Source organism: Homo sapiens, chromosome 11 (genome assembly GCF_000001405.40).
Source record: "Homo sapiens chromosome 11, GRCh38.p14 Primary Assembly".
NCBI lineage: Eukaryota > Metazoa > Chordata > Mammalia > Primates > Hominidae > Homo > Homo sapiens.
In genome coordinates, this window is record NC_000011.10 from 96113967 (window position 1) to 96140733 (window position 26767).

At 40.7% G+C, this 26767-nt stretch overlaps 1 protein-coding gene across 3 annotated transcripts in view, besides 2 other annotated features; it reads right to left on the minus strand.

The window, feature by feature from the left end:
- Positions 1-26767, minus strand: part of MAML2 (mastermind like transcriptional coactivator 2) — a 366598-nt gene that overhangs the window by 137369 nt on the left and 202462 nt on the right. The window lies entirely within an intron of this gene.
- Positions 11252-11396: an enhancer, noted in NCBI's record as "145 bp enhancer 300 fragment used in the MPRA reporter construct; PK_construct_2025". NCBI's record gives its function as "activates an SV40 promoter by MPRA in HepG2 cells {active_cell/tissue: HepG2}" and the evidence as "EXISTENCE:reporter gene assay evidence [ECO:0000049][PMID:23512712]".
- Positions 11317-11330: a transcriptional cis regulatory region, noted in NCBI's record as "HNF4 motif; enhancer activity is reduced when this motif is scrambled". NCBI's record gives its function as "necessary for full MPRA enhancer 300 activity {active_cell/tissue: HepG2}" and the evidence as "EXISTENCE:site-directed mutagenesis evidence [ECO:0005528][PMID:23512712]".

Here is a 26767-nt window from a genome sequence, read left to right on the forward strand (position 1 = left end):
TGATGAAGCCCCGCTCTAGGAAACTGACATACCATCTCCAGAGTTGGAGAATTTGAAGAAAAAAAAAATCAGGGAAACAGGCCTTGGTTTTTTAAACATCTAATTTAATTATCTTTAATTTGTTAAATTTTTTTCAAAGACAGAGTCTTGCTACATTGCCTAGGCTGGTCTTGAACTCCTGACCTCAAGTGATCCTCCTACCTTGGCCTCCCAAAGTGCTGGGATTACAGGCATGAGCCATCATGCCTGGCCCCAGGAATCATGTCTTCTGAGGGAAATCCTGACCATTCCTTGATGGTTCAGACTTTGCTATGGGCAAAAATATTCCAGACTGAGAAAGGTACCAAGAGTCTTGGTGAGAAATCAGTCTAGAGGTACCAGATTTCAGTTTCTGTCACCTAATTTCATCGTTTGATCCTAATCTCCTTAGCTCTTGTTCCTTCTCACTCCCTCTTCCCTCCCCACTCAGAACCTCAGTTTGAAATGAATTCATGCAAATCCACCCCACCTATCTCTGCTTTTGCAAGTCCCACTTTACAGCCTCTGGCTTCTGTAGCTTGTGATCTCACATACTCACACCCTCCCTAGACTCTTAGTGATTTATATTGTTGGCTGTGCTGATGGGAAAGCCCAAAATATTTTTGGAAATAAAGAAGTAGCATCTAAAGTTTCACCAGAGAGGCTCTCACCATGAAAGGGAATTGTGAATACTGAAAAGTGTTGCCGGCCTCCCTCCTTTCTGAACTCCTTGAGAACTGGTTAAATGGCAGACTTGAGGGCCCCACATAGGTGTCTTTGTCAGTAGAAAAGGCTCAGGCCCCATCTGCTGAGCTACCATGGCAAGGATTAAGTATACCTGGAATGTGGAACAGAGCCAAGAACTCTGATCCCAATAGGCAAAGAAATAAACAGGAGTAGGGAGGGTGGAGAGGGAAGAGGTGAGCTGGCTGGGATCAAAAAGACTGTTGTCAAGATCTCTAGTGAGGCAGAGGCAGCCGGTATGGAGGTTGGTTAGAAACTGAGCTGTCAGAAGTACGTTTCTGCTGAGGTTCTTCAGGAGAGGACACGGAAGTTCATGGGCTGGCATAGGTCACAGATGGGAATTGCATACAAAGATCCAAAGATACAAGGTAGTGAGGTTTAAGGGGTACATATTAAATGTTTGGTGCTGTGAGGTAGATTATTGGTCTTTTTTTGCTTTTTTTTTTTTCTGTAAGAGATGGGGTCTTGCTCTGTGCCCGGGCTGGAGTACAGTAGCTTGATCATAGCTCACTGTAACATCAAACTCCTGTGCTCAAGAGATCCTCCTGTTTTAGCCTACCAAGTAGCTGGGACTACAGGTGTGTACCATCATGCTTGGCTATGTATTTATTTATTTTTTGGTAGAGATGGGGGCGTCTTTGTAGGTTGCCCAGGCTGGTCGTGAACTCTTGGTCTCAAGCAAATCTCTTGCCTCAGCTGAAGCACTGCGATTACAGACATGTAATCCACCACCACACCTGGCGGATTTTTTTTTTTTTAAACCCCATTCATACTCCAAGTAATCCTGGCTCAGAAATTAAATTAATTCAACTGACCAATATGTGTCTCATCTGTTACCTCCTGCAGGGTCTGATCAGTATAAGCATTCGACAAATATTGAATACCTCTGTGCTGGGCTCTGTCATACACGTGTTCAAGGAGTCACTGGAGTCCAGTGGGGAAGACTGACAATCAATGAATACATAAAATGTCAGGAAGTGATGAATGCTCTGGAGAAACATAAAGCACAGTAAGGGAAGGGAGAGTTCTGTTTTATAGGATGGTCGGTGATAGTGGAGTAGATACCTGAATCAGAAGAAGGTAGCTACAAGCATTCCAGGTCCCAGGATCTCAACTTGAAGCACTGAGAGGTGGAATGGACCAAGTGTTCGGATCCCATCTTAGTGTCTATTCAGGCAATGTTTTCATAGGTCCCCAAAGAAACTGGCTTTGATGAACCTGAAGAGCTATCTCAGCATATCTATGAAAATCAGACTCTGGGGCTGAGAGGGTCTCTCCAAAGCTGGTAAACTTTTTTTTCCCCACCCTGACAAGTCTGAGGCCAGGAAGCTAGGTATCTACTGGGATTCTAATGTAGCAACACAGACAGCAGAGGGGCATTAAGCTCCTGTAAATAACATATGTTTTCTTAGTTGGAGGCAGGGCAGTGCTTTTTGGTTTCTCTTTATACCGCTATAAGTGTGAATAATGCAATTCTGCTTGAAATTCTACATGCTTTTTATTCCTCATCAGACTCTAACTGTACACTAACATTTGCATATGTCCCTTCTCACTGGGTGGGTTCTTAAATGGACTCAATGTACTCTATGCTTCTCTCTCTGGGGATGACTGACAAGAGACGACAAAGACAACACTCAGATATTCCAACCCAACCTGCAGAAGGGCCATATTATAACACTGAAGATTTGGATTCTCTTGGCTCCCTGTATTGCAGTGGGACGCAAACAGAGTCAGCCTGTAGCACGATGTACCTTTTCTGTGTTCTACTCTGGTCTGACAACATGGCAAGTAGGAGGTCCTGGCTTGTGTGTGTAATTTAGAGACAGGTTTTGTACTCAACTGCTAAGCTTTCTGGTGTTCAGCCACTGGGACATATGGAGCTGAACTCTCAGAATCTCTGCAGGATTGGGAGGAAGAAGGTGGGAAAACAAATCAGGTTTCCAAAGTGCTTCTACTAAACAAGTGGATTCCTTTAGCTTGAATGTGTTCCCCTCAGTGGAATATGGTGATGATTCATATGTATGGCGAAGAGAGTGAGGATTTCAACTTTTAGTTTATCAAGAGAATCACTCAATAATGGATATATTGAGTATCTACTAAGTGCAAAGTACTATAGTAGCCTGTAAGAGAAACACACAGAAATAAAATACGTAGCACATGAGGAGGACAACAAAAGCTAAGTAGCGTTTTATAAAGAACAAAGGCAAAGACATCAGCAAGAAGTTAATGATTACTAATAACAAATGATGAATTGAATTGACAGCCATTAATTCAGGTATCTGAATGAACTATCTCCAGAAGGTAAATCCCAGTATTTTTCTTTGTGAGATTAAACAGGGACAATTTAAGATAGATAAAATTTAGATAAGCAGAGATGTGAGGGGAGGGCATCCCAAGGGAAGTGAATCTACAGCAAATGTGGGCAGAAAGGAAATAAAAAAAATATGGAAGTCAATAAGGTACGGGCACACCACTAGCCTTGCAAATTTCCATAACTGGATTACCTTCACAAAGCAACTGGACTCCTTGACATACCCAGTATCTGTCATGCTGCAAAGCTCTTTTTTTTTTTTTTTAAATTTTTTGAGACAGGGTCTCGCTCTGTTGCCTAGGCTGGAGTACAGTGGCGTGATCTCAGCTCACTACAGCCTCAACCTCCTGGGTTCGAAAGATCCTTCCACCTCAGCCTCTTGAAGAGCTGAGATTACAGGCACATGTCACCACACCCAGCTGATTTTTTTTTGTATTTTTTGTTGAGACAAGGTTTTGCCACATTGCCCAAGCTGATCTCAAACTCCTGAGCTCAAGCAATCTACCTGCCTTGGCCTCCCAAAGTGCTGGGATTACAGACATGAGCCACCATGCCCAGCACAAAGCTCTTGTGCTGAGAAAAGTATTGCAGCAAGAATGAAATATGCAAATAAGCATCATTAACAACTAACCCTTCACTACCTTGACAATATACAATCTTCCACTTAGATTAGACCAGAAGATTCTTAGAACAAAAATGGTCTACAATCTGCTGAAAGCTCACCACACCCCAGGACTTAAAAATTGTACTTAATCAAGACAATCAGAGTTATAAGAAGAAGCCTGGAAAAGAACTAAAAAATAATTTGGTCTAGGGCTCTGCCTTTTACCAGGTGACTCCAAACTATCCCAGAAAGACTTCTGTTCTCTTCTTTATATATATACAGATCAAAGACTTCCAAAAGCACCCTCATTTTGTAAGAAATAATTGTGATGAATAAGAATTCATCATTCTGTTGAATTCACCCAACATCTGTGAAACCTGTAATTGTAAGACACTGGGCTTGGGTCATGGCAGATGCAAAGTTGACTTATATTTGATTTCAGTGTTCAGGAAGCACATCATCTGGTAGAGGAAGCAAACATATACACCAATAACTATAAATCAAGGCAGTGAGTGATAGGGGCTCTAGGAGAGCATGCTAAACTACAAGCTACTTGCACGAAAAGACTGTCTTTTTCATCTGCAAATTCCCAACTGCAATGTCCAGCTATACGGTTTGGCTCTGTGTCCCCAACCAAATCTCATCTCAAATTGTAATCATTGTAATCCCCATGGTGATTGGATCATGGGGGCATTTTCCCCATGGTTTTTCTTGATAGTGAGTGAGTTCTCAGGTTTAAAAGTGAAACTCCTCCCTTTGCGGTCTTTCTTCTACTGCCATGAAAGACGTGCCTTGCTTCCATTCATGCCTTCTGCCATGATTGTAAGTTTCCTGGGGCCTCCTAAGCCATGTGGAACTCTCAGTCAATTAAACCTCTTTCCTTTATAAATTACCCAGTCTCAGGTATGTGTTTATAGCAGTGTGAAAATGGACTAACACACTCATCATATAGTAATTTCTCAATAAATGTTTGTTGAACTAAGAAAGACATGAAAAGGGCTAACAGAAAACAATATGGAGAGATGGATCCACAATAATGAAGGTAGGAACAATCTTCTGGCTCTGATTTAGGTCTTGAAGGGAGGAAAGGAACAGAATAAGTCAAGAAGTGATGCAAAAAAATCTCCTGCCTCTTGCTTGGTCTGTAGTAGACATGAGTATGTCCGATGAACAGCCTTGTCATAGTATTTCTACATAATCAAAGACAAAAAAAAATTCTTTTTTTTTCCTTTAGGTTAAACACAACCTCCCCCTTTAACCTTTACTCTTAGTACCTTTTTCCTATTGTTTCATTCCATGATGCTTCTTTTACTCTGAACCCTCTGTCTCTCCATAGTAAAAGAAGGATAAAACTCCTTCTACATCTATTGACTCTTACCATTTGTAAAAACATTTTTATGTCCATTACTGCATTTGATTCTCATAATAGCCCTGTGAGGTGGGTCAGGAAAATCACAGTATCCCTATTATAAGGAGAAAGAAAAGCAGTATTATGGTAGGCAGGATAATATCCCCTCCAAAGACATTCATGCCTTAATCCCTGGGACCTGTGAATATGTGAACTTACATGGCAAAAGAGACTGTGTTCTAAAATTTAGTTAAGGATCTTAACATGAGGTGTTTAGCCTGGATTATCCAGGTGAATGTCATGTAATCACAAGGGTCCTTACAAGGAAGGAGGCAGGAGAGCCAATGAGATTTGAAGATGCTACATTAGCTTTGAAGATGGAAGGGAGCCATGAACCAAGGCACACAGGCAGCCTTTCAAAGCTGGAACAGACCTGGAAACAGGTTGTCCCCTAGAGCCTCCAGAAGGAAGGCAGCCCGGCCGACACTGATTTTAGCCCAGTGAGGTTCATTTCAATTTCTGACCCCTTGAAGTGTAATGTGATGTATTTAAGTTATTTTAAGCGACTCAATTTGTGGTAATTTGTTATGGCAACAATAGGAAACTAATACAGTCACAGTTTAACGACTTGCTGAAATTCTCACATAACCCAGTTATCAGAGCTGGGTCTAGAACTCCTGTAAGCCTGGCTCTATTTACCACTTGGCTCTCTCTCTTAGAGCTACTGTATTTCCTTTAATTAACTATTCCTTCCCCACACACCCTCTTTTCTATCACAGTGCCTCGTTTCTTTCAAATCACTTATCATGATTTGTAATAATTTTATTTATTTAAATATTAATTGTAGCTCTCCTCCTAACAGAATGCAAGTTCAATGAGAGGGCATAGGCCCTAAATTTGCTCACCATTAAGTCCCTAATGCCTACAATAGTAGTCTGACAAATATATATTTGCGAGAAGATTCAGATTTTTTTTTTTTTTTTTGAGACGGAGTCTCACTCTGTTACCCAGGCTGGAGTGCAGTGACACGATCTCAGCTCACTGCAAGCTCCGCCTCCCAGGTTCACGCCATTCTCCTGCCTCAGCCTCCCGAGTAGCTGGGACTACAGGCGCCTGCCAGCACGCCCGGCTAATTTTTTGTATTTTTAGTAGAGACAGGGTTTTGCCGTGTTAGCCAGGATGGTCTCGATCTCCTGACCTTGTGATCCGCCCTCCTCGGCCTCCCAAAGTGCTGGGTTTACAGGCGTGAGCCACCGCGTCCGGCCAAGAAGATTCAGATTCTTAAGGTATGAGGATGCAACAGCTGAGTAGAGGCAGAGAGGCTGCCATGGTGGTCCATGGTCCACTGCAGATCTGAAGGATCAGGAGTAATCTATATGCACTTGCTTCTTTGGGAAGTTGAGATGGAAACTGTGTGATCAGTTGCTGTCCCTGATGACCCCAACAGAGGTCCTCTCCACATGCTCAGGTATGAAGCCAGAAGCCCAGATCCTGACAGATCGCACCACGGTGACACTTTACTCTTCCATCCTCTTTGTTAGTAAGTCTACCTCCCAGCTCCTTAAGCACTTTGTTTCCACTCTGCATCTAATTGCTTTTGGATAATTATATCATTAAGTCTTTGTAATGAATAATAAAAAATAAATCACATCTGTGGAGGGCTGTGGAGCAAGACGCTAGGGTAAGCAAATTGTCAGTTATTTTCCCTTTCTTTGTCCTCATTCCCCTCCTCCCTCTAACCTTCTGAATTAGAATATCGGCCAAGTGGGGACCAAGAATTGTATTTTTAAAAGAGTCCCTGGATGATGATGATGATGATCAGTGAGGTTTGGAAACCACTGACCTAGAGGATGAGGATTCTCAGAGTCTAAAGGAGAAACCGAAGAATGCAGTTAAATTACAAAGATCCTCATGTTTCCTTAGTTCTTGCCTCCAAATCGCTCAAGGGATAGTGTCTTGCTCTACTCAGTAATTCTAGGGCAAGTGCTGTGATTTTGAACCTACAAGATGGGAAAATGGTGCAACAGTCCCTTGGGAGGTAGCCAGATTCATAACTAACGAAAAAGTAGTAATCTGAAGGCAGCCAGAGTCAGGGGGGAGTGAAGGATACTTTGGATGCTATTCCAGGTCACAGGCTCATTTCTGAGAGAGAGAGAAAGGTTCCTAGATCCCCTACTCCGCACCAGCCTTGAAGAGAATCCAAACCCCATCTTTGGCCCTGGGAGACGCTGGCTTCTCAGAGTCTCTGGCACCCCAGTGGTCTCAGATCTTGGTCAGAAATAAGCAGACTCCCAGGGATATTCATTACAGTATATTTCCACTGAGATATAGACGTTCAATATTTGTTCAATTATAGCTTGAACTGCCTGCTATGGGGGAAGCCATTAACACAAGGAGACATGATTCCCCAGTAACAGGAAGGAAAGAATTGGATTTGTCCAGTGGATATTATTAGCACATGGCAAAAAACATTTAACAGACATGTACTTTGGTGAAGTGTCAATAAACCCTCAATAAACATGCTTCAGAGAAGCACCATATTATTTTTGCCTTGCTTCAAATTTAAATTTCAGCTTATCAAAGTATTCCTTATTAATCATAATGAACTCATCCAGTATTAATATAAAATTGTTCTGATTAATGGGCTAGTGCTCTGGCATCTTTCAGGTCACCACAGTGAGGCATTCTTTTTCGCAACATAAAGAAAAAAAAGAGAGAAGACTAGAAAGGCAGAAATGGGAAAGCAATGCCCTTAATTTTGTGTCCATTCCATATTCCCAACTGCGTGATTTTTTTTTTTTTTTTTTTTTTTTGAGACGGAGTCTTGCTCTGTCACCCAGGCTGGGGTGCAGTGGCGCGATCTCGGCTCTCTGCAAGCTCCGCCTCCCGGGTTCACGCGATTCTGCTGCTCCAGCCTCCCTAGCAGCTGGGACTACAGGCACCCGCCACCACGCCCGGCTTTTTTTTTTTTTTTTTTTTTTTTTTTTTTTTGTATTTTTTAGTAGAGACGGGGTTTCACTGTGTTAGCCAGAATGGTCTCGATCTCTTGACCTCGTGATCCGCCTGCCTCGGCCTCCCAAAGTGCTCGGATTACAGGCGTGAGCCACCCCGCCCGGCCCCTGTCTGCTATGATTTTAACTGGCCTGAGAACTGACCTGTGTATGTTAACTACTGCCCTGGGGCGACAGCACAGAAAAGCTCACAATTCTCCAGCCATGTAGATACAGCTATGCTTTGGCCTCCTGACTTGCAGATAATCTCTCTGAATTTCTAAAACCTAATTCTCTACTAAAGGGGTGGAAAACCTGCAGATTTTTTTTTTTTCCTCTAGGGTGATTCTCCAAACTCTTCTGCTCTCCCCTGGAGCTGCAGAAAATCCTTCAGCCTACTTAAGTGCCCTACTGTATATGGGTTCTGTGGAGCAGTCATAAAGAACGGGAAAGAAAGTCAAAGAAGGGAGTTGCATAAGAAATGGATGTAGGACAAATACAAATCTTTTAGGCTGGGTGTGTGTGTGTGTGTGTGTGTGTGTGTGTGTGCACGTGCACGTGCATGTTTGTGTATGAGATTTTTTCCCCATAGAAAATATAAGCAATTCAGTCATAAGAAATTCTATCTCCAAGGCTGCAGTAAACTATCACACCTGTAGGCTTTTATTTTTCACAGAGGACCCTGTAAAATCCAAGGCAGCAAATCAGAATTCTGTGTGGTTTAGAGGGAATGCAACCACAGATTCCAGCCAAGAGGGAAAAGCTCAATTATACCATTCTTTACATGCCCAGTCTCGTTCTCAGAAAGCCCCATGTAAGTGAAATGTGATCCACGATCATGGCCAGGGCAGAGGAAATACAAGCTGCAAGCCCCTGCATTATGCATAGTGAATATCCTTTAAGGTGTTGGTGCTGGAACAGCAGGTCTAATACCCACTTGCCTGATGGGCATGATGAGCAAGGATTTCTGAGTGATGTCATTCCCTTTCAGGGACTGTAGTTGACTCATGGGCTGGCTGAATCCATCTATTCAAAACCATTCAATGCTGAGAGTCCAGCCTTCTACTCCTGGATACTTTTGTGCACAGGACAATCAAGGAAGGAGATCTAAGATGATGAGATGCCCATGTCTGTTTCTCTCACACTGTCTTACTGCCCCCACTGCTGGAAGCATTCTTCTTTCAATCCCCATCCTTCCACACCATTGACTGCAGTCATAGCCAGCTCCTAAGCAGCCCCGTAAAGGCAGGAACCACTAGATCTCCAAAAAAATGCCATCACAATATACCTGAGCAAGGTGTGCTTGAGAGACATTTACAGTCTTTTTTTTTTTTCACGTATCTGCCTGCTTCTACAGGTGACAGCTCCTCCAGGTCAGGGAGCTCACCTGGGTGTTCATGGAGTCCTCCGCAACTCATCCAGAGACTTGCACCTAGTAAGAGCCCAGTAATGCTTGTTGAATAAAGGGGCTGGCAATTTACCATTTGCCTTTGATGTGGTTAATAGCCCACACGTGTCTAGCTTTGTGGTCACATGCAGTGCCCCCAACTAGGCTACGGTGCTTCCGTCCTGTACAGAGAAGTCTGAATTCAGATATGATGACATTTTTAGAGCCTGCTTTATAGTAAGGTTGCACCAGTTATTCAGAGTTTCCTCTGGAATCACCAAGTGGTGAGGTAGGAAACAAGGGAATTAGCAGCCACTGCAGCCTTTATAAATAAGAGACTTCTGTAAGCTGAGGAACAGTGTGCACAGATGGGGAAGGGAGGGAGGAGGACATCGGCTTCACAGACAGAAATTAAGAGTAACCCGGCCGGCATGGTGGCTCACGCCTGTAATCCCAGCACTTTGGGAGGCCGAGGTAGGTGGATCACCTGAGGTCAGGAGTTTGAGACTAGCCTAACATGGTGAAAACCCGTCTCTACTAATAATACAAAAATTAGCCGGGCATGGTGGCACGCACCTGTAATCCTAGCTACTCGGGAGGCTGTAGTAGGAGAGTCGCTTGACCCCGGGAGGCGGAGGTTGCAGTGAGCCGAGATCGGGCCACTATACTCCAGCCTGGGCAACGAGCAACGAGCAACCAGCAACGAGCAACGAGCAAAACTCTGTCTCAAAAAAAAAAAAAAAAAAAAAGGAGTAAACCCAGCAGGTGTCGTGATTTAGAAATGGCTGTCACAGTTCTGTGGCCCACTGATTCCTACACTATTTCCTCTAGGTTCTGTTTCTACCAATGTTCCAGAAGGCATTTATCTTCTCTCCCTCTCTTCCATACACAGCGTTCCTCTGTGTTGGAAGTGGGAGATAGGCATGAATAAGACCTGTCTCTGCCTTTGAACACTCACAGCTAGGTGGGGAGGAGTGGTGTGTTAGCCAGTAATTACGACACAGGATGTTCTCTGGTTTGATTCCAGTGTGCTATGGTAAGAGAACCACCTAAGAAGAAGAATAGAAAGATAGTCTGATCCTGGCTTTACTACTATTTTTTTAACAAGTCAGCCCCAATTTCCTCATCTGTTAAATGTAAACCATAACACTTACTTTACCTAACAAAGATGATTGAGTTGTTTTAAACATTTATTGAGTTAATCCATGAAAATGCACACTCAAAGGATAAAGTTCTGTAGACACCAGGCCTCCTTCTCCTTATCATCATCATCATCACTACCATCATTATGATTTTGTCTATTTAAACACACGCGTGTGTGTGCGTGTGTGTGAGACAGAGAGAGAGAGAGACTGCACATGAACGGATGTGCATACACCTCGTGAAAGGGCATGAGAGGAGGGAAGAAGGACCACCGATCAGGAAAATACTTAAAAGGGTCCATGTAGAACGAGGAATCAAATGCAAAACCTGCCATGATTTGCAAAAAGAAGCTGCTTATGTATTATGCTCAGATGCAGCTTTCTCAAGATATTCTCAATCCTAGGTTCTTTGGCTTCTGTTTCCTCCTGTGTCATCCACTGGTAAGAATGAGTGATGGCCGCATTAATTGACACCTGTCTCCTAAATTGGGCCTTTTGTTACATATCACATGAGAGTCATTTTATTATTTTATTATTACCTTTTTATAAAGCATTATCTGCTTGTGGCCATTAAGCCACCACTTTGGAAGAAAAGACATTGCTGGCTTTTCCTAAGGGAGTTAATGAGTTGCCCTTGAATGACCTGAGAAGCTCATTATTTATACAGATTCTTAGGGGTAGAGGCAGAGAAGCAAATAAACTGAGAGGGAAGAGATAGACACTGGACAAAGACTGTGGTTATTCAAGCAGGAGCACTTTGCCTTGCACAGGGTGACCTTTAGGCTGTGAGGTCCCTGAGCCACACTGTGCAGAGATGGTGCAAAAATACTCTTCCCATCTCCAAGTCTCAGCATCTGAGACTTGTTAGGGGAAGGTGCAGGAGAGGCATGAGGTGACATCTGTAACACAAGTGGGTGGCTACCGCTGGAAGGCTCTGACCCCCACCAGACAAACGTCAGTTTTACAAAAGAGAATCCTGACATCTGTGTACCCAGTCTCTCCAGGGTCTGGGCAAGTGGACAGGGGAGAAGCAGGTTCTGCAGTGTGTGTGCTGGGTTGGCACACATATTACGAAATCCTACGTGTGTCAGTACTATCTGCCTGTTCTCTGCTCTCCGTGCCATGAACGGTTCGTGTTATTTATGATCCAAGCAGCTCTTGACATGTTACTAATGGTGAAGTGAAAGGCAATGAGTAAAGGTCCTCCAGTGAGAGAAGCCTAAAATAAGGCTCTTAATCATCTCCTCTTCCCTTTCCTTGTCATAATCCAGAAAGGCTTTTTTTGTACAGCATTAGACCCAGCAATAATATGAATTTGGCCATGAGGCTGATGTAGAAAGTTAGGGATCAAAGCGTTCTTTATGGGACATTTACCTGCTGAGAAGCAAAGGGCGTAGATTCTGGTTGTAATTGTGCTAGTGGGCAGAACAAGAGTGGCAAAGAGGCCCATTATGGTCCCTGGCCTACAGAAACCCCAAATTCACATTCAGAACAAGAACTCAGACTTCAAGTGGAGCCTTTCCTGGTACACCAGGAAAAAGCTTTCCTTCTGATACGGTCGTAATACTTTCGTGACATGCTGACTTATAAGCCCTAACTATGTAGTCAGCATCTGGATGTGCAAGGTGTTATGCTGGGAGATCTGAGGGATATAGGACATTGTCACTGGTCTTCTGGAACTCAGAGTGTTGAGAAGATAAAGTATAGAAACAAGAATGTAAGATTTTCTGAGAGAAAATGACAGCAGTAAAAACAATAGCAGAGAGGCCCGGTTTGGTGGCTCACTCCTGTAATTCCAGCACTTTGGAAGGCTGAGGCGGGTGGATCACCTGAGGTCAGGAGTTCCAGACAAGCCTGACCAATATGGTGAAACCCTGTCTCTACTGAAAATACAAAAATTAGCCAGGTGTAGTAGCATACACTTGTAGTCCCAGCTAGCTACTTGGGAGGCTGAGACAAGAGAATCACTTGAACCCAGGAGGCGGAGCTTGCAGTGAGCCCAGATCACACCACTGCACTCCAGCTTGGGCAACAGAGCGAGACTCCATCTCACAAAACAAAAAAATAGAATAGTAGAGAAAGCAAGTACTGTATCCGGATTCTGATGACGAGGTGTTAGTTTAGACTGAAAATTAAAGAGGCTTCAGGCAGCACATTGTGCTTGAATTGGATCTTAGAGACTGGGAAGCGCTTTGAAAGCACAGAGGAGGACAACTATTGCAAATTGGCTGAAAAACAATATAAATCCAATTATATATTCATTGATTCATTCAACAAATGTCATTGAGCAGTTCTCATGCGCTGGACACCTTGCTAGGCCCTTAGGATATAGTGGTGAACAACACAAAAAAACATGGAGAACTAAGCGTGATGACAGTGCATGTGGTATGGACATGGGGGGGGTCAAATGGTAGGTATGAGAAAAAGGCTTGAGCAGTATGGCCAGTGCAGTCATCTCAGGTGCGGTTCCTACAGGCTGCCATAGAACACAGTCTCATCACTTGTTGACCCGGTGTTGGTGTTTCCATCTGCAAATTAGGGAAACCACACCCACTGTTTCTTGAAACCATTCGTAAAGTTCAGCTTGAAAGGTGCAGAGTGTTGATGGGCAAAATTACCTAAGCAGTTACATGTGGTTTCTCTTTATCTGTTTCAACTGGATGGGTGATTTGTTGAAGTGTGCACAAGGAAATCATGCTAACAGGTTGGCCAATATGTTAAGATCATAGCTCTCCCTGCATAGTGCCATTTCAATTATTGCTCAGTTAAAAGAAAGTCTTTTCTCTGGATTGAATGGTCCACTATTGTTAGATTACTTATTAAAAAGGATTGATAGGCTGAGGCTGTTTTCACTTAGGATTTGTATGACATGTTCATAACTGAAATGGAGAGTTGCCATAGTTACCTGAGTGAGCTGTTAAACAGAGCAGAGTCTCCACTAAAATCTCTCCATCAAGGTCAACTAGACATTTTCCATCAGCGCCAAATAATTTGCTGGCTAATGGAAGTTAATGAAATTATTAAAAGAGTAGAAGAAATTGCAAATGAAGTTAATAGGGATATATTTTATATTTAAATATGTTTTAGTGACCAGCCATTTCTATGGGGTTCTAACCAGCTGGAAATTTTGGAGTATAACTAGACATCTGGAGAGAAGTTTAGAGTAAAAACACATTTGGATTTTGGCACAGATTACTGCCTTCGAATCCAGCCCATCATTAACAGCTTCTGTACAGTATTGTTCTTCCTCCAGGGGCAATAAAAATGAAGCAAACCTTTGTTCAACCTAAACTTCCTTTCTTGGTCAGCTGTTCCTGCTGACTTCCCATCCTAGTGGCCCTACTGTTTCCATTGGAAACGTCAGAATGGAGAGAACCACAGACTGCTTGCTTTAGAAGTGGCATGTTCAAATCCAGTAATGCAAGAAGAAAATAGACACTGTTTATGAAACAATCACTAGCTTAGTGCTTCTCAAACCTTAGTGTGTATACAAGTCACCTGGATATCTTGTTACCATGTAGATTCTGATTCAGCAGGTACAGGATGCGGACTGGGTGTCTGGGTCTAAAAAGCTCCCAGGTGCTATCAATACTCCTAATCCAGCCGTGTGCAGTGGCTCACGTCTGTAATCCCAGCACTTTGGGAGGCCGAGGCGGGTGGATCACCTGAGGTCAGGAGTTTGAGATCAGCCTGACGAATATGGTGAGACCCCATCTCTACTAAAAATACAAAAATTAGCCGGGTGTGGTGGCTCATGCCTGTAGTCCCAACTACTTGGGAGGCTGAGACAGGAAAATTGCTTGAACCTGGAAGGCGGAGGTTGCAGTGAGCCAAGATCATGCCACTGCACTCTAGCCTGGGCAACAGACAGTGGGAGGCTCAGTCTCGGGAAAAAAAAATACTCCTAGTTCACACACCAAATCTTGAGAAGGAAGGCCTTTGTTTGTTTCATCATTTGCTTATTGGTATCATCATATACATATCAACCTTATATGCCACACCATCTTCTTGCTTGACACACACATGATCTGTCCCACTGACACTGGTGTTAGAGTTTGCTGACACTAAGATATTACACAGCTTCCTATTTATCAGGTTTACATGGCATGGTGCACCTAGGGCTCTCCAATACCTTTTGTGGGATTGTGCTCTCAATTTACAATTACCACTCTTCATAAACACGTAAATAACTCAATAAACAAGTAAACATGGAAACAGCTCAAATGTAGAGTTAGTGACATGTTTCATCACAGGGCAAAATGGCATTTAAGTGATCTTTACTCTTTAGCAATGAATGAAGCATAAATCAAATGTAAATCTGTCAACTCAAGGCAAACCAGAATTCTACTGGCAGGTGGCATTGACGAAAAAAGTATAGAGTATGAGTGAAGTCCAAAATTGTTATTTATATAAAACATGGAGTCTCAGTATGGCTCAGGCTGAAATTTTACAGTATAGTCTATTTTTGAGGACAATCCATTGTTAGGCATTTTGCGTGCATGTATCTGGGGGATGGGGGTAATCTATACATTAGCCAGATTAGCCATCTACATGGCACAAATCTACTGGACAGTATCTAACTCAAGATTTACCAATAATCATACATGGAAAAAAGGTGCTCAGGGCAGCCGTTATGTTCAACTTAGAGATTTGCATTATTCTATACCAGTCTGAAAAATGGCACCCCACCTTGAACATACATACACTGAATTGGTCAGATTCTCACTTTTTCTTTTCCTTCAAAAAAGATGTTCTAAAAATAAGTAAAGAAGAGGTCTCTTCATTATAGACCAGTGGTTCACCTGGAGGACTTTTTAAAACACAGATTGCTGGGCTCTACCTCTAGAGTTTCAGGTCTGAGGTGGGCCTAAGAATCCGGATTTCTAACAAGTTTCCATGTGATGCTGATGCTGCTCATCCAGGAACCACAATTTGCAAACCACTGTTCTAGATCATTACTTTATACCCTTGGCTGCATGCTAGAATCATCTGGGAGCACTTTTGAAAATACCAACACCTGTGCTGAAATCCACACAAACTAAATCCAAATAGGGGGAGGGGTGGGTAGTGGGACACAACTATGGGTAATTTTTTGTTTTGTTTTGTTTTGTTTTTATTTAAATTTTTATTTTAGATTCAGGTGGTACATGTGCAGATTTGTTCCAAGGGTATATTGTGTTATGCTGAGGTTCAGCTTCTCTTGATCCCAACATCCAGATAGTGAACACAGTACTCAACAGGAAGTTTTTCAGCCCTTACTCCTCCTCCTCTGTCCCTACTTTTGGAGTCCCTGGTGTGTTCCCATCTTTATGTCCATGTGTACCCATGGTTAGCTCCCACTTATAAGTGAGAACATGCAATATTTGGTTTACTGCTTCCCAACTATCAGTAATTTTTAAAGCTCCCCATTTGGATCTAACCTTCAGCCAAGGCTAAGAACTACTAGGTATAATGGAAAGTTACCATCTTGCAGCTGAGTACAAGGACATTACCTCAAGATTATACTAGCCCAGGTATATTATAATGATTCTGAGACCATAACTGAACAAAATAATGGGCAGATAAAATGTTCCACAGCTATGGAGATATAAGCCTGTGGAATATTTCAGCTCTATCACCTAATGTGAAGATTATCTTCCTGGCATTTGCTGTGTGTGTGGGTGTTTGGCACTTGGACTCCAAAAAGGCTGTCAGTTCTCCCAGGCAGGGCTTCTTGTGCAGAAGATAAACCAGAGGATCCACCTGCTTCACTAAGTCCACTCCTCTCAAGGGGACTTCCAAAAGGGTGTCATTTTTCTAGTGAAATCATAACATGGTTCAGAAACTCAAGAAGGATATGTGATACTTCTTTCTGCTTCCTCACTCAACAGCTTTCTCTACCTCCTGTCTCATCACAATCTTCCAGTTGGCAAGAAGTTAGAGAGGGATAAGTAAGAAGATTCCAAAATGCTCTAAGCTTGCCAAGCCATAATATGTACCATGGCTTGCTGTTTTAATCTTGAAGAAAGGATCCAATCTAGGGACACGAAAGATGAAGTAAAATCTATAAGTTGGATTTTAGTTGCGTTTAAGAATTATTTGCTATAGTTAGAACATCTGCCATTCTTACACTCAAGGCTTGAGATTTCTTTACAAGGAAAAAAATTTAAGATTTTAAAATTCTAAATAGAAAGATTCTCCATTTCCTACAAATGGTCCTTCAGTCTTTGCCTTAACTACTTGGAGGGAAATATTTTACTTGACCAAATTGTTTATTCTGATTTTTTTTTTTTTAGTAATTAAAACGTTATTTTCTTTTCTTTAAAAAATGGAACTAAAATACGCTTCCTATTAACTTCTACCCTTTGTCCTACACCAATTGTCTAGGACCATCCAAAAAAACCTAATTCTTTTTCTATGTTAGAAATATTTATTAAATGCCTACCATACTAGGCATGGAATGAGGTACAAAGATGAAACAATCCCTTTAATTAGGGGTAGAAAGACAAAAGCATAAATTTCATAACAGAGCTATACAAAATCTGTAGCGAGAGTAATCACAACTACCAGAAAGTCTGAGAACTACCTCAAAATAAACACTATTTAAGATGTATGTTGGGAGAATGGGTAAAATATCAGCAGGGTCCAGGGTAGAAATAAAAAGATACTCCAGACATTCCTGGGAAAGAGAACAGCATACATAAAGGCAAAGAATGACAAAAGGCTTAATCCACCTAGAAGACATAACAATTATAAATATATATGCACCTGAAAACAGAGCTTAAAAACATGTGAAAAAATCACAGAATTGAAGGGAGAAATAATAAAAATAAAAATAGTTTGAGATTTCAAAACCCTACTTTCAATAATGCACAGAACAACTAGACATAAGATAAACAAGGGAAAACAAAGCTTCTACAACACTATAAACCAAGTAGAGCTGACATATATAGAACATATACTTAACAACAACTTGTTGTACACTTGAGAAAATAATATATGCTTTTCTCAAGTGTACATGAAACATTCTCCAGGATAAACTACATACTTACAATTGCGTTTATATGAAATACCAAGAATAGGCAAACTGATAGATTCAGAAAGTATATTAGTAGTTACAGGAATCCATGAAAACAGGAATATGAGGAGTGACTGCTAAGGGACGTGGAGTTTCTTTATAGGGTGATAGAAGTGTTCTAGAATTAGATAGTGGTGATGGTTGCACAACTTTAAAAATTGCCTGGGTGTGGTGGCTCATGCCTGTAATCCCAGCACTTTGAGAGGCTAAGGCAAGTGGATAACTTGAGGTCAGGCATTCGAGACCAGCCTGGCCAACATGGTGAAACACCGTCTCTACTAAAAATACAAAAATTAGCCAGGCATGGTGGCACACTCCTGTAATCCCAGCTACTTGGGAGGCTGAGGTAGGAGAATCTCTTGAACCCAGGAGGTAGAGGTTGCAGTGAGCCGAGACTGTGCTATTGCACTCCAGCCTGGGCAACAGAGTGAGACTCTGTCTCAAAAAATAAAAATATACTAAAAAGCCAATGAATTGTACATTTTAAGGTAAAAATTTCCTAGTGGGCAAGGATCACATCTGTCTTGCACAGAAATAGAATACATAGCTCATGGTGTGTGCACGTACATATTTTGTTCTCACCCATGTCACGTGCAGAAAAAGATCTCCAAAAAGTTAGCCTATGAGCAGGAAATTAGGAAAAAATGAATATGCAAAATGAGGTGAGGCATTTGTTGCAGTACCTTTTACCCTTTAATTCATTTATTCAACAAATAAGTTATTAAGGACCTATTGTGTGCCAGGCCTGCAAGGTAGTAAGGATTCAGCAGTGAACAAGACAGACAATAGTTTGCCAGAGTGCATGCCCTAGTAAGTCTAATTACCTCAGAACTAACCACATTTAGATTTTAGATATCAAGTACAAACTGGCAAAGATAGTTATTTTTGCATTTATAAAGTTATAGAGTAATTCTTTGATTTACATACTCTGAAGAAACAATATGTGAATGACAACAGAAAGGTCAGCATGACAGTAACAAGAAAGTAGAACTCAAAAATAGGAATCTGTTCATGTGTGTTTGCCTTGTTCACAGACAGATATGAGTCATTCTGCAAACATAAACCTATAGTGGAGATGGATATAGCGTGTTCTTAGCGTTCTGACAACAGCCATGACAATATTTCTACCAAATACTGTAGCTCTGATTCCATATCTAACAAGTAACTTACCTTGTAATTTGTCCTCTCTACCTGTAGGAAAGGATTAATTCATCAGTGTATTTGGGTGTTCTGGACTGCTGTATGTTACAGTTCTCATTGTAAAAGTCCAAGTGGTATTTGGGCTTATATATTAGTCTCTTCTGAGTTTGGCAATGTGAGCTATTTCTGAAAGTTTGATAACATTTATATTAAATTCTGTAACATGATGACCATGCCCAACATACTGCTACTTTCTGATGCTTATGGATACAATATTAGAGTAAAAATTAAAATATGTCTACTTAAGTGTTACATCTCATTCAATAATATATAGTGAGTGCCTTCTTCATTGCATGATATCTACAAGGAGATATGTGGATACAGAATGTGTAAGAGAAAACATCGCCCTCAAGTAGGCTTTCCTGGATAAAGATATTTCTTGATAACTTTTATCCAAGGTACTTAAATTTCAAACATAATGAACACATTGAAAAGGAACCATTAAAAGAAATCATTCTATTAATATAAAATAAATATATTCCTGTGTCAGTGTTCTGCAACCTATATTCTGATTTCAATTTTTGTTGAATGCCATTTGGGAGAATGTAGATCGGTAAGCAAAGTAAAATATATTACATTTTCTTATCATTTTTTATTAGTCATTATTATCATTTTCTTATCGATTTTAAAATTTCGCAAGCACCCAGATCTGCTATTTTTCAGCCATTTACATGTCTTCATGCATGGGAGTGGTAGCCCGTATACAGTCATTACACACCTGGATTATTTTCCCTATGAAAGACCTGTGTGAACATTCAGCCTTCTCTTGGTCAATCGACTTGGCAGAAAAACAGTTTAAGAAAATAAAAATATTAAAATATGGAATATTAATTGAAATATATTTTATGTTTTTAAGAAACATATTTGTACTTCAGATGAGGAGTATGAGAATACAATAGAAACCTTTAAAGGCTGTGTATATTACCAGATAAGAATGGTTTATAGGCCAGGCATGGGGGCTCATGCCTATAATCCCAGCACTTTGGGAGGCTGAGGCAGGCAGATTGCTTGAGCCCAGGAGTTTGAGACCAACCTGGGCAACATGGTGAAACCCTGTCTCTACAAAAAATACAAAAATTAGCTGGGCGTGATGGCATGTGCCTCTAGTCCCAGCTACTCAAGAGGCTGAGGTGGGAGTATCACTTGAGCCCAGGAGGCAGAGGTTGCAGTAAGCTGAGATCATGCCACTGCACTCCAGCCTGAGCAACGGAGCAAGACCCTGCCTCATTGAAAAGAAAAAAAAAAGAAAACAGAAAAAAGAAAGAAAGAACAGTTTATAATTAGACATTGCTGACAATTATTCTTTGTAGTTGTTTAGTGCTTTATAGCTCATAAGGTCTTTGTAATGGTTCTCTAAGACTTCTTTACATTCTATTAGTCTCTGAATATGACTTACTGAAGATTATACAGCTAAGTGGCAGGACACAGGACTCTATTTTTTCCTTTAAAGTCCTTATTACAAAATAAATACAAACTACTTTGTTTACTTGTTTACTGTGTTTCTCACCTATTGTGTTACTCACCACTACTAAAGTTCCAGGTAAGCAGGCACCACACCTGCTTTATTCCTCATTGTACCCCAATGCCTGGAATAGTCCTTGCACATAATACATTTTTGATGCATTTTTAATGAATTAAGGCAAGATATCAAATGTCTCTGATTCTAGTGCTTTCCTCCTTATACAACATTAGTGAGTACTTCAGGATTCTGGGATTATTTATTTGTTTAGAAGATCATGCTTCCCATATATTTGAAGGCAGTCAAACTCTTGTTCAAATACTATACTGAAATAAAAAGAGTCAAAGAAGTTTTGCTGTATGTAAATTAGTCTATACTTCTTTCCTTCAAATTCTATTCAACATGTCCAGCTACTTGATACATAGAAATTTTATAATAATATTCTCTACTTTTACTTACCACATTGTGGTAAAAAGTAAGTGGCATGTTTCAACTAATCCAGCCAGTATTGCTTTTATTTCCTCAAGCTAAGAGGGGTAAACAGAAATGGTTACCATGGAAAGTCATAAATACCACTGACTGCTATTTCCTCATTTGCTACTCTATCATGTATTAGGAGAATAAACCAAACTCTCCTTCTAAAAGTCGAGTTGCAGGCATGTGTAGGGCATTACATCCAGAGCTTCTGCAGTTCATTAGATTGCCCAGCTATAGCAGAAGTAGGGATGATAATAACAGTGGACACATATTGAGCATTTACCCAATGCCTGGTATTGCACTAGCAACATGCTATGGTTTGAATGTGCCCCACAAAGTTCATGTGTTGGAAACTTAATCCCCAAAGCAAGTGTTGAGAGGTGAAACCATTAAGAGGTGATTAGGCACAGTCCTCATGAATGAGTTAATGCTGTTATTGTGAGAGTGAGTTAGTTATCATGGGCGTGGGTTCCTAATAAAATAATAACTTTGTCTCTGTTCCCCCTTTATCTCTTGCCTTTCCATCTTCTACCACGGTATGACACAGCAAGATGGCACCTTACAAGATGCCAGCCCCTTGGACTTCCCAGTCTCCAAAACTGTGAGAAATAAATCTTCATTCTTAATAAATTACCCAGTCTCAGGTATTCTGTTATAGCAACACAAAACGGACTAAGACAATACATTATCTCATTTCATCCTCACACCAGGCCTATCAGTTAGGCCTGATATTTCTTCTTATTATTACACTTTTACAGAGGAAGAAGCTGATACTTAGAGATGTTAAGTTTTTAAAGTTCACTCAGCTAGTAGGTGGCAGAAGAGAGGTCCCAATCCAAGGCTTTTTTTTTTTTTTTTTAAACCGTGGTAATGATTTTATAGTATTTTTGTGCTGGAAATAGATAACTGAATGAAACAAAACTGAATAATTACTTACAGTAAAGGTCAGCTTTTTCTTACAATTTGTGTAGCTTTATTTCCTAAAAATTGGCATTTTTTTCCTATCTTTAGAGGAGTGATTCTTCTGGCTCGCTGCTCAAGGCTGCATTCTTAATTCCTAATAGTGACATACATCTCTGAACCTGGGAGGTGGAGGTTGCAGTGAGCCAAGATCATGCCACTACACTCCAGCCTGGGCAACAGAGTGAGACACCATCTCAAAAAAAAAAAAAAAAATTATATTGAAATTAACTGTGGACTCCTTGCACCCAGCTAAGAGCTTGGGACACAGTAGATACTTAATAGATTTTTGTTGAAATGAATTAATTTTGAACTAAACTTTAGTAACTAATCCCATTAAGTGAAAACCAGCATGGCACCAAGCCGACCTGCACTGAGGTGCCAGTGAACTCAATTATACGTGATATGTAAACACATCTAGGAATCAACGTTTTGATCTAGAGTATGAAGAAATCCAAGACTATAGGTAGACATAAATTATTTGAAGAAGTCCAGGTTATATCTAAATATAAATCTATACAGTAAGTCACAATTATCTAAACTTTTCCCACTTACCATCAGTTTTCTCCTCTTCCTTTTTTTTCTTTGCAGAATGAGCCGCATAATTGCTTCAATTTGCCACTTCCCTCTGACAGATGTAGTTATATGTATATATGTAATACATACACACATACATACATATGAGTTGAAGTCAATTAAGATAACAACTGACAAGAAATTAAATATTTAAAGATGTTGTTGATTATGTAGTTATCACAAATGTCTATTTAGCATCCCATATTGGAAAGAAAACCCCACCATGATTATCTCATGTTGGCAGTCTTCCCCCACCCCCCAAACTACAACTGCTACATAGTTACTTAGAGCCTTAATTCACAGTTGTTTATTTCCTGCTTTCACATCCAAAGTTGGGGAAAACAGACCATGGTGAATTTCAAATTTCAGAGCTAATAGCATACTTCTAGTATGGTAGGTATTTATTTAACTTTAATATGAGAAGTTAGGCATCTGTTTTTCTTTCAGCTGATGACACAGTTCATTTTCTCCTCAATAATAAAGAAATTTCAAAATGCATGAAAGCCCACTTTTTGCTTCATTTCCTGTAAATAACTTTACACTTACTTCAAAGCTGACCTTTCACTTAGATCAAAATCCCTGTTACTAAGACCTTGCAGAGAAGAGAACTGAATCAATAGGATGAACATTAAAATAATTGTATCTTGCTTTATTTACTGTACCCTGAACATCTTTGAGGGGTTATAATTTCTGGGGATGCCCTGAGCACTTTGAGTGAAGTATCTGCCAAAAATCACATCTGACTAGTGCCTTGTTATTTTTTTCCACTGTTGTTTTTTAAAAAATGCCATCAGGGAAGCTTAACTACAACAATTCTCTTTCAGTGTCGTCAATTTTCCATGAGTTCAGGCAGGCCACCAAACAGATCTCAAATACACAGAAAACTGTAAGTGGAAACCGGGTTAAAAGGGAAGGAAATGTTGCATGCACTTAATATCATAGAAATCAAGTATAAAGAACAGACTGCTAAATTGTAGAGTGAAATCAGGTTAACCATATTGACTGGAAACCGAATTCAAATTACCTTGCACTTGGTTCTGGGGAGAAATGAGGAGGCTTTAAAAATAGACACCACTGTTTTTGGCCTTTGTTTAAAATAGTGATTCCCAAGACTAAATTTCTCTTACTGTCTCTTACACGCCTGGATCAAAAGAAGCAAATCTGACTAGTTTAGAAAAATCTTTAGGGAAAACCCAATTCCTTTGTCTCTTCAACAAAGACTTTGAATAAGAGTTTAAGTTTGCTTTAGCCTGTGCATTTTAAGAACTGGACAACACATGTACTGGGAGCCAGAAAGAGTTTCCTCACATGATCTAAGCTTTGGAATTCCTTTGTTTCTTGCCTTTCAGATGGAAAAAGAATAACAAGTATGGTATTGTCCACAAACTCATTGACCATTCAGTCTCCATTTTAATATACTACACATACACTGTGTGAGTGTGTCTGAAAGACGGTGGGCAGGGGAGACAGAAGAAACTGTGGGTGTTTATGGTTAATATTAATCACTTGGATAATGAATATTATTATTAGAAAATTAGAATTTTATAATTGCATTAAACCTGAAAATTATTAAATATATTGATCTTTAATACTTGGTTCCTAAGACTGTTATTTTTTAACAATCTTTTTTATGTGCTAATTATATGAAAGGGTAGTCTCTTTCAGTGAAATAATTCCCCCTTTCCATCCTTTTCCCCACAATATTCCTGTATCCATCAAGAACAATGTCTTTATAACTGGTAGGCTTTTTGGCCTCTGTCATTCCTATTTTGAACCAAATGATTAAAAAATGACTGTGGTAAATGTTAGCTAACTTGGCGTTATTAGGGCCAAAAGAAGTCCTTCACATATTTAGGCTAATAAGAACACAGGATTCCGGTTTTTTGTATACCTCAAGATCCTCCTTTTGTAATCAAAGATTTGAACACCCAAAAATGGTGACATGAAGCAAGGTGGAATGCCAAAAAATGAAGAAAAATATACTTTCCTGTCGTCCATGCTGATACCTGTGTTTGTTGGCTGAATCCCTGAAAGCTATTCCTTTGTCTCCCTCTTCAAGTACTGATTTCCAGACAGCCACCTGACCGCCACCTGAGCTCATATTACTGCCCCTTGCCTAGGAGATCTTTGTATAGCTCCTAACTCTGAAGCTTTGTGGCCAAAGGAAGTTATTTATGCCATCTGTAAAAGAGGGAGCAAAATGGCTGCCTCTTATATTGTGTTCCACAAGGGTGCTCAGGAAATTTATGAAAAATCTATTCCAGTGACTGCTGAGATATGAATGTTGAACTCCTAATGGCTGCTAATGGGCGATCTTATTGCACTCTTCCTGTTTTCCTTACCCCCAAGTGGTCAGCCAGCATTCAGAGAGGGTAAGAAAGATGGGGGGGTTGGTGAATAATGATTGCCGGGTAAACCACCAGGGACTGGGTTTGATAATGCATCCTCACTTGGAAATGCCTGAGCAGGAAGCACCTCCGAGACATAGTCCAGGAAGGCCCCAAAAAGCTTTCCAGGTAGAGATCGGTGAGTTTCTATGATCCCCAGAACCTGGGAATCCTCCTGACAACTTTGTATTGTCCTAGGGTGCTTGATTTATCTGGCTGAGTCCCTTACTTTTATATAGACCAGTTTTCTAAAACTTGAGGGCAGATGCTTGTCTTCTACCATAAAATGCTGGTAAGAAAGAGATTTCACAACCCATTCTAAAATTTAATTTTTCTTTAGTCTTCCAAAAATATGAAAAGTCACTAGTTATACTTTCTCATGTAGTAAATTCCAGAACTCCCTTGTCATTTGATACTTACAATACCTTACAAGGAAGATATGCCAGAACCATGTGGTAATAAAACCTTTTTCCATATATATATTGGTAATGTTCCACAAACCAAATCAGCTTTCCTAATACAACTTTGTACAGCGATCAGATACATTAGGCCTATCACTCACCACTGAAAAAAGACAGTGGTGGCTCACACCTGTAATCCCAGCACTGTGGGAGGCCGAGGCGGGCAGATCACGAGGTCAGGAGATCGAGACCATCCTGGCTAACACAGTGTAACCCTGTCTCTACTAAAAATACAAAAAATTAGCCGGGCGTGGTGGCGGGCGCCTGTAGCCCCAGCTACTGGGGAGGCTGAGGCAGGAGAATGGCGTGAACCTGGGAGGCAGAGCTTGCACTGAGCTGAGATCCCACCACTGCACTCCAGCCTGGGCGACAGAGCGAGACTCTGTCTTAAAAAAAAAAAAAAGACAGTGGTATCCAACAATTATCATATCAAATACTTGATATATAACAGTTCCTTTTTTTTTTTTGATATATTTAAGAGAGAATAAGAAATCCCCAACCATGTTAAATTCTTTACCAAGAATCACAATAATTTTTTGATCCCTAGAGAAAGGTGATTTGACAGCAGGAAATCTGACCTCTGGGGCTACCTCTCCCCTTTACCTACTCATAATCATTTTGGTCAGCAACAACTGTTGTTTTTCAGTGTTTTTCATAAAGACAGTGCAGAAGCTCAGGGCAATACCAGATGATGGCAAAGACCAAAATAATACAAAATACTCAAGCAAAGGCAAACATTAAGGGCCTTTGAAATTTCCGTCTCTGTTGCCTATTCCCACTCTTTCCACCCACATCTACTCTCCGTGATGCAATGAAGGCCTGGGTATGTGGGTAGTAATGACTGCATAATTCTATCTTTAAAAAAATCTATTGAATTAAGGAAGCTGCAGAAAATGAGGAAAACTTATTGAAAACCATCAGAACGAAAAGTTCTCAAACCCAAGTAAATTGCTGCTGAGGCTTATCATTGATGATGTTTCACTTTCTTTATGTGGTTAATTGCTTCCTGCCTCCATAGATGATTTTATCCATCTTTATCAGCTTTTGTTTTGTTATTAGTGCCCAGGCATTGGCATGGTTCATCTGGTACTCCATTAGACTTGTGGCAAGCACAAAAGCCAGGACTAAAGGAAGAAAATTAATTGCTTACCCTGCTAATATCAATTCATTTTCACCTTCTTGCTTTGGCCTGACTTCACCATACTGTTGACAAGTTATATTTTTCTTGTTAGTTCTTTGATCCTCAAAAGCTAAAAATCAGCCCAGATAGATGAGAAAGAAAAGACAGCATTAAAACCACTGTTATTGCCTCTGGTGAGGTATGTAGTTTTGGGCTAAGGCACAGCCCTTCTGCCCAACATGAACAGGCTGAGATGAATCTAAGCCAATTTTGATGAATGGCCAGCAGAAGACAAGATCTTGGAGTTTCTTTGAGCAAACCATAAGAAGCTACTCTCTAAATTTTGCTGACTTTATACCAGAGCTCTTACATGCAGAGGCACTTCTCAGCTCCAGTTGATATAGCCTGGAGCAGTGCTGCCAGAGGTAGCAGTGTTGCCCCTAGACGTCACTCTCTCCATCGTTCAGTAGTTCCCAAAGGACCTTCCACCACTCCAGATCTACATGACAGATACCTCCAGAGTCTA